Here is a 7,670-nt window from a genome sequence, read left to right on the forward strand (position 1 = left end):
TAAGCCATGTCACCTTCTCTTTAATACCTTAACAAGAATGCTCCCTTAACAAGAATCACTAACATTCAGTATCTGGCCCTGGCTGAGCATTTAGCATGTATTATATCAATTTCATCTCACACCAGATTATGAAGAGGGCATCATGTCCATTTGGTAGGCAAGAAATGAAGTGTAGCTTAAGTAACTTGCCCGATGTTATACCAGGGTGGAGCTGGCATTCAAGCCTGGATCTGCCCGGAACTCACAAAGTCCTGCTCCTAAGCAATGGGTGAGGTCTCCTTGGGCTCACACAGCCCCTGTCACTTATGTCCCCCTGTGCAGGCATGCACATCCTCTCCCCACACAATTCACCCCACTGATGACATCTGCCTCTTGTCCATTTTCCCCACTGGACTGGGAATGCCCAGAGGGCAGAGATTCTGTCTGACTCACAGTATCTGCCCCACCACCTGCCATTCCTGCTGCATGGCAGCCATCAGTGGAGTTTTATTTATTTATTCATTTATTTATTTATTTATTTTTGAGACGGAGTCTCACTCTGTCGCCCAGGCTGGAGTGCAGTGGCCTTCACTGCAACCTCCTATTAGTGGCCGAGGGGATGAGAAGGAATGACACCTGGCAGAGAGCCGGGCTGAGTCAGGGACTGGCTCACAGCAAGATGGTGACTCTGCTGAGAGATGGAAACAGGTGGGTCTGGAGGTTCTCCTCCCTTCTCATTCATTCATTCAACAAATAGCTACTGGGGGTCTTTTATGTGCCAGGCACTATTCTAGTTGCTGAAGACACAGAGGTGAACAAAGCCTCAGGAAACTGCAGGCAAGTGCTGGGCCTATTTGCTTTCTCCAGGCGCTTTGCTCAGATCTCAGTCACTGTTTCCTTCCCTATTTTTCCTCATTGCTTAGAAGAGTTACATTTTTTACGTACATCACTCAGGTTAAGCATCTAAGGAACCATAAACAAAAGCAAGTACTAAACGGACAAAGTCTGAAGGCTTAAAAGTCACCTCCCCCTAACACCTCTGCCCAAGCATCAACCTCCTCAGGGTTCCTTCTCTAGTCTGAGACACTCCATGCTCCATTTCCCATTTTTCTGTGACTGGAAGTTCTGAGCTGCCTTCCTGGGAGAGCAAGAGTGCTTTTACTACCTCCCTCTGCCAGGTCAGGTCACCTTTGACTCCACTTCCGCCCCACCTACATGCTCTGGGGGGAGTCAGGGAATTTGCTCCTGGCTCCTCTTCCCTTCCAGGACTGGAAGAGATGGGGAGGCTGCTTCGCAACCTCTCCAGACCTGGACTGGAGGCAGGGAGGACAGTCAGGGCATCAGTCTATCCGTCCATCCTTTGGCCCATCTGTCTATTGTTGCATTCATGCCGCATACCAGTAAAGATCACAAACATGGAATGGAAGCCCACACCAACTGTAGCGCTCTCTAAGCCCAACTTGAGAAAGGAAGGCTCTTGTTTTGCGCCCTGCCCCCCAATTCAGCCCCGATGCTTAGTGCCCAGTGGCTTCTCTCATCTCACTGGGAAGGGGAGGGACCAAGGAGGACTGGGGAACGGGGTGGGGGTGAGGAGGAGGGAGATGCTTGCCCTGACAGGCCTGGGCCGGTCTGCACTGAGGCACACACACCACCTGCACCTGGGAGTGGTGGGGGGAGGGGGCGGGGCTTGAGACACGAGCGCCTTTTCCAGAAGGCTCCCCTACCACGTCTCGTCCCCACCCGCACCCCCTTGCCTACCACTCGCGGGGCGATTCCAGGAGTACCTGGCAACACCACAGACTGCGCGGCCCAGGCCAAGCCAAGCGTGGAGACCGCGCAACCCCGCCCTTGGCCCTGGCCCAGGTGTCCCGGCCACAGTCCCCAGTCTTGCAGGGGACGTTCCCGCGCTGAGCAAGTCCTGATCGCGGACTCCTGAGTTACGGGGAACCGCCTGGTCCAAGGCGAGGACAGGGAGTGCACCAGCAGAGGGAACCCACCCTGCCTCCAAGCCCTGCGGAACTTGGGCTGCACGGGAAGGAGCTGGTTTTACAGCCCTGTGGGGTGCGGGATCCGAGTTTCCCTAGGCACCTGCAGGAGAGCCCCAAAATCTAACACGAGGGCATGGAAGAAGGAGTTGGATGAGCGGTGGCCCGAATGAAAGGCATCCGTGCTCTGGAGTCTGCAAGTAATTTAAGCTTCCAAGCCTCTAAAGATGCTCCCCGCACCCTCCTCTGAGGAATCCGCGGGCGGTGGCCTGGGCCCTGTCCCGGGACAAGGCACTGCGTCTCTGAGATTAACCCCTGTCGGGCGCGCCCTAGCACTGTCAGCATGAGGTCATCCTGCCAATAGGAATTTCCTGTCCCTTCAACACTGACTGGAGACGGGCCCCACCCTATGCCCAGTCCTCGGGCTCCTGGACTCACCAAATACCTGGGACGCTCATTGCCAGGCAGCGCCAGGCCCTGCCCTCCAGGCCTCATCGCTGCCGCAGACGTGGGACAGGTTTCCTCATCAATGGCCGAAAGGGAGCCCAGGTCGGGGGGCATGTTCTCTGGCGGGCATTCTCTGCCCCAGAGGAGCCTGCTTTCCTGAGCACCGGCCCCACTGTGCCTCATCTTGGTTCCACCCTTCCAGCGCTTGGCAGTTAGTGTAGGAACCGAGATCTCTAGGGAAACTGAGGCCTTTTGGCAACAAGATGCCCTGGGGGCTACCCTAAGAAAGGCACAGCTTCCTTGGAGTGAGGAGTGTCACCTAGCAAAACTTGGACAACATTAGAAGATGCAATTAGCAGGTGAATCTTAGGCTAAGAATGTGGGTATTCACCACAAACTCTGTCTCTCCCTAGTCAGATGGTGAATGTGACACAAACCCCTCCCTGCTGGGTTGTGAGCTGGGTGGAAGTTCCTGGGGGCGTGCTCATCCCCATGTCCAACGTCCTTTGCACACAGTAGGAGTGCAATAAACCTTTGTCCACTGTTAAACTGGGGAGAGACTAGTCATATGATTTTTCCTAGTGCTTGTGACCTGTATTTTCTGGCTACAGGACAGAGGGGTCTTAAGCCAGTATGGGAGGTAGGGGTTGGGGCAAGAGGGAGGATAAGAAGGTCTCAAAAACAGGAGGCTCTGATGGGGCTGGACTTCAGCACCCTTGTGTGAGGTTGATCAAGAGAAGGGCTGAAGACAAGAGTGGGAGGAATGTTTGGGGAGGTGGTAGGATTCTGGGGGATAATGGGGTCCAAGTGTCAAAGTGTGACCAGAGTGGGACAGGGGGACATCTCCTCACTTCTGGCAGGGGCTCAGCAGGTGAGGACACCAGGTGCCTTGGCTTGCTATTTGGAGCTCAGAGAGAGAGTGTCCCCAGGCATGCATCCTGTCTGGGCAGGTCCCTTTGGTCACAGTGTCACAGTCACAGTGGGGAGGCGCCCTCAAGTGGCTTCACAGCAGCAGACCTGGATGGGGATGGAGCGCAAGAAGGCAAGTCTCTGTGATACCCCAACTCTCCTCCCAGAAGTAACTCGATGAGGAGGTTTTGAGGGAACCAGGAAGAATAGCTCAGCAAACGGTTTCAGAGACATTGAAACAGGAATGATGACTCATAATGTGTCTCCATTTATAACCACAGGTTGAAGAGATCTTACAGAACTGGAATATTTAAGAATATGACATTATATTTCTCAAATGTTTGATATCTCCAAACAATAGTAATTTTTAAAATAGCGGCCAGGCACAATGGCTCACGCCTGTAATCCCAGCACTTTGGGAGGCCGAGGCAGGCAGATCACCTGAGGTCAGGAGTTCAAGACCAGCCTGACCAATATGGTGAAACCCTGTCTCTACTAAAAACACAAAAATTAGCTAAGTGTGGTGGTGGCACCTGTAATCCCAGCTACTCAGGAGGCTGAGGCAGGAGAATCGCTTGAACCCGGGAAGGAGGAGGTTGCAGTGAGCCAAGATGGCGCCACTGCACTCTAGCCTGGGCGACAGAGCGAGACTCCATCTCAAAAAACAAACAACAAACAAACAAACAAAAACCATTTACTATGTATCTTTTGATTACAAATCAGTATTTGTTTATTTAAAAAATGGACAATGTAAAGAAAATGCAAAAAGAAAGTAAAAACAACTGGCTCCCCAGAGGTAACCACTCTTTTACATTAAATGTTACACATATTGTTTTGTAATTTACTTTATCCATGTAAGAATATATCATGAATCTTTTCACATGGCAGTAAATTTTCTTTTACATTATTTTTTAATGGTAGTTTAGTATTCCTTCCTGTAAGTCTGCCAAAAATCATTTAACCAATCCTGCTATTGGACATTAAGCTTGCTTACAACTGTTAACCATAAACAAATGTACGCACGCATACATGATGAATTTCTTAGGATAAGTTCCTAGGAAGATAATTGCTGGTCACAGGTCAAATGGTATGCTCATTTTTAAGGTTTTTAAAATATGTTGGCAAATTGCCCTCCAGGAAGATTGTTTTAATCTCTACCCTCACCTACAAAGCATGAGAATGCCTATTTCTCCACACCCTCACCCAAATTTGGTATTCTCCATCTTTTTAACTTTCTGTCAATTTGAAAGTAGAAAATGATAATCTTTAATTGTTTAAATTCCCATTTATTTGATTATTAGTAAGGGTAAGTAAAACACCTTTTCACTATTTTCATTTCTTAGTCTGTAAATTAACTGTTGCTATCATTATTTATTATGCTGACCAGACATTGGGCATTTACTACTAGGTGTGTTCAGTTTTTTTCTTATTAATTTTTAGGAGCTCTTTATATAATAATATTATCCCCTTGCTTGTCACGTCATGAAGACTTTATCCCTGTTTGTCTTTTAACTTTAAACACTCTTTTGCCTTATAGAAGCTTTACATTTTTATGTAGTCAAGATTATCAACCTTACATCAACTTACTTCAAGAAAGGTTTCCTCTATATCAAGAATATAAGAACATAATTTTCCATTCCACCTCCATTTATTTTCCCAAATGTTTTTTATTGTGGTAAAATGCATGCAATATAAAGTCTACCATCTTAACCTTTTTTTTTTTTTTTTTTTGAGACGGAGTCTCTCTCTGTTGCCCAGGCTGGAGTGCAGTGGCACGATCTCAGCTCACTGCAACCTCTGCCTCCCAGATTTAAGCGATACTCCTGCCTCAGCCTCCTGAGTAGCTGGGACTATAGGCGTGCACCACCACGTCCAGCTAATTTTTGTATTTTTAGTAGAGACAGGGTTTCACCACATTGGTTAGGCTGGTCTCGAACTCCTGACCTTGTGATCACCCGCCTCGGCCTTCCAAAGTGCTAGGATTACAGATGTCAGCCACAGCTCCCAGCCCATCTTAACTATTTTTAAGTGTACAGTCTGTGATATTAGGTTCACTCATAATGTGTGCAACCATCTTTATAACCCTTTTCATCTTGTAGAACCAAAACTCTACACACATTAAATAGTAATTCTCCATTCCTCTCTGACTCTAGCTATTGGCAACTATTGTTCTACTTTTTGTCTCTATGATTTTGACTACTCTATGTACCTCATAGAAGTGGAATCCTATATTTTGTGACTGGCTTATTTCACTTAGCATAATGTCCTCAAGGTTCAATTCCCCTTTCATTTTTATAATTTTTTCATTTACATTTAAACTTTTATTTTTTTTATTTTTTTATTTTATTTTATTTTTTTTTTGAGCCTGAGTCTTGCTCTGTCGCCCAGGCTGGAGTGCAGTGGTGCAATCTCAGCTCACTGCAACCTTCGCCTCCCAGGTTCAAGTGATTCTCATTCCTCAGCCTACTGAGTAGCTGGGATTACAGGTATGCACCACCATGCCCCAGTAGTTTTTTGTATTTTTGGTAGAGAGGGGTTTCGCTGCATTGGCCAGGCTGATCTTGAACTCCTGGGCTCAAGTAATCCGCCTGCCTCGGCCTCCCAAATTGCTGGGATTACAGGCATGAGCCACTGTGCCTGGCCTAAACTTTTAATTTTTCTCATATTTATTTTGATGTCTGACATAGATAAGGACTTAATTTAATGCTTTTTAAAAGTTTGGCCGAGTTTTTCAACATTATTTGTTGAGCACTCAATCCCTTTTCCAAAGATTTAAGATATGATTGTTTTGATTAATATTTCCTTGATTTTTTATGTTTATTAACCATTTTCATTTCCTCCTTAATTTATGCCTATGCATGTCCTTTGTCTATTTTTCCATTTGTGCTTTCATCTCTTACTGATTAGAAAGGAAACTTTATGGAGGAGCCAAGATGGCCGAATAGGAACAGCTCCGGTCTACAGCTCCCAGCGTGAGCGATGCAGAAGACGGGTGATTTCTGCATTTCCATCTGAGGTACCGGGTTCATCTCACTAGGGAGTGCCAGACAGTGGGTGCAGGCCAGTGGGTGCGCGCACTGTGCGCGAGCCGAAGCAGGGCGAGGCACTGCCTCACTCGGGAAGCGCCAGGGGTCAGGGAGTTCCCTTTCCGAGTCAAAGAAAGGGGTGACGGACGCACCTGGAAAATCGGGTCACTCCCACCCGAATACTGCGCTTTTCCGACGGGCTTAAAAAACGGCGCACGACGAGATTATATCCCGCACCTGGCTCGGAGGGTCCTACGCCCACGGAGTCTCGCTGATTGCTAGCACAGCAGTCTGAGATCAAACTGCAAGGCGGCAGCGAGGCTGGGGGAGGGGCGCCCGCCATTGCCCAGGCTTGATTAGGTAAACAAAGCAGCCGGGAAGCTCGAACTGGGTGGAGCCCACCACAGCTCAAGGAGGCCTGCCTGCCTCTGTAGGCTCCACCTCTGGGGGCAGGGCACAGACAAACAAAAAGACAGCAGTAACCTCTGCAGACTTAAATGTCCCTGTCTGACAGCTTTGAAGAGAGCAGTGGTTCTCCCAGCACGCAGCTGGAGATCTGAGAACGGGCAGACTGCCTCCTCAAGTGGGTCCCTGACCCCTGACCCCCGAGCAGCCTAACTGGGAGGCACCCCCCATCAGGGGCACACTGACACCTCACACGGCAGGGTATTCCAACAGACCTGCAGCTGAGGGTCCTGTCTGTTAGAAGGAAAACTAACAAACAGAAAGGACATCGACACCAAAAACCCATCTGTACATCACCATCATCAAAGACCAAAAGTAGATAAAACCACAAAGATGGGGAAAAAACAGAACAGAAAAACTGGAAACTCTAAAATGCAGAGCGCCTCTCCTCCTCCAAAGGAATGCAGTTCCTCACCAGCAACGGAACAAAGCTGGATGGAGAATGACTTTGACGAGCTGAGAGAAGAAGGCTTCAGACGATCAAATTACTCTGAGCTACAGGAGGACATTCAAACCAAAGGCAAAGAAGTTGAAAACTTTGAAAAAAATTTAGAAGAATGTATAACTAGAATAACCAATACAGAGAAGTGCTTAAAGGAGCTGATGGAACTGAAAACCAAGGCTCGAGAACTACATGAAGAATGCAGAAGCCTCAGGAGCCGATGCGATCAACTGGAAGAAAGGGTATCAGCAATGGAAGATGAAATGAATGAAATGAAGCGAGAAGGGAAGTTTAGAGAAAAAAGAATAAAAAGAAATGAGCAAAGCCTCCAAGAAATATGGGACTATGTGAAAAGACCAAATCTACGTCTGATTGGTGTACCTGAAAGTGAAGGGGAGAATGGAACCAAGTTGGAAA

General features: G+C 48.0%; 4 annotated features.

The window, feature by feature from the left end:
• Nucleotides 1,324–2,154: an enhancer, noted in NCBI's record as "H3K27ac-H3K4me1 hESC enhancer chr15:84047486-84048316 (GRCh37/hg19 assembly coordinates)". NCBI's record gives its function as "activates a minimal SCP1, AML or CMV promoter by ChIP-STARR-seq in naive H9 embryonic stem cells {active_cell/tissue: H9 hESC(naive)}" and the evidence as "EXISTENCE:reporter gene assay evidence [ECO:0000049][PMID:30033119]".
• Nucleotides 1,324–2,963: a biological region, named in NCBI's record as "CDK7 strongly-dependent group 2 enhancer GRCh37_chr15:84047926-84049125".
• Nucleotides 1,764–2,963: an enhancer, noted in NCBI's record as "CDK7 strongly-dependent group 2 enhancer chr15:84047926-84049125 (GRCh37/hg19 assembly coordinates)". NCBI's record gives its function as "activates an origin of replication core promoter dependent on BRD2, BRD4, P300/CBP, MED14 and CDK7 cofactors, with strong dependence on CDK7, by STARR-seq in HCT116 cells {active_cell/tissue: HCT116}" and the evidence as "EXISTENCE:reporter gene assay evidence [ECO:0000049][PMID:35650434]".
• Nucleotides 6,519–7,148: an enhancer, noted in NCBI's record as "OCT4-NANOG-H3K27ac-H3K4me1 hESC enhancer chr15:84052681-84053310 (GRCh37/hg19 assembly coordinates)". NCBI's record gives its function as "activates a minimal SCP1, AML or CMV promoter by ChIP-STARR-seq in primed H9 embryonic stem cells {active_cell/tissue: H9 hESC(primed)}" and the evidence as "EXISTENCE:reporter gene assay evidence [ECO:0000049][PMID:30033119]".

Source organism: Homo sapiens, chromosome 15 (genome assembly GCF_000001405.40).
Source record: "Homo sapiens chromosome 15, GRCh38.p14 Primary Assembly".
Classification (NCBI taxonomy): Eukaryota; Metazoa; Chordata; class Mammalia; order Primates; family Hominidae; genus Homo; species Homo sapiens.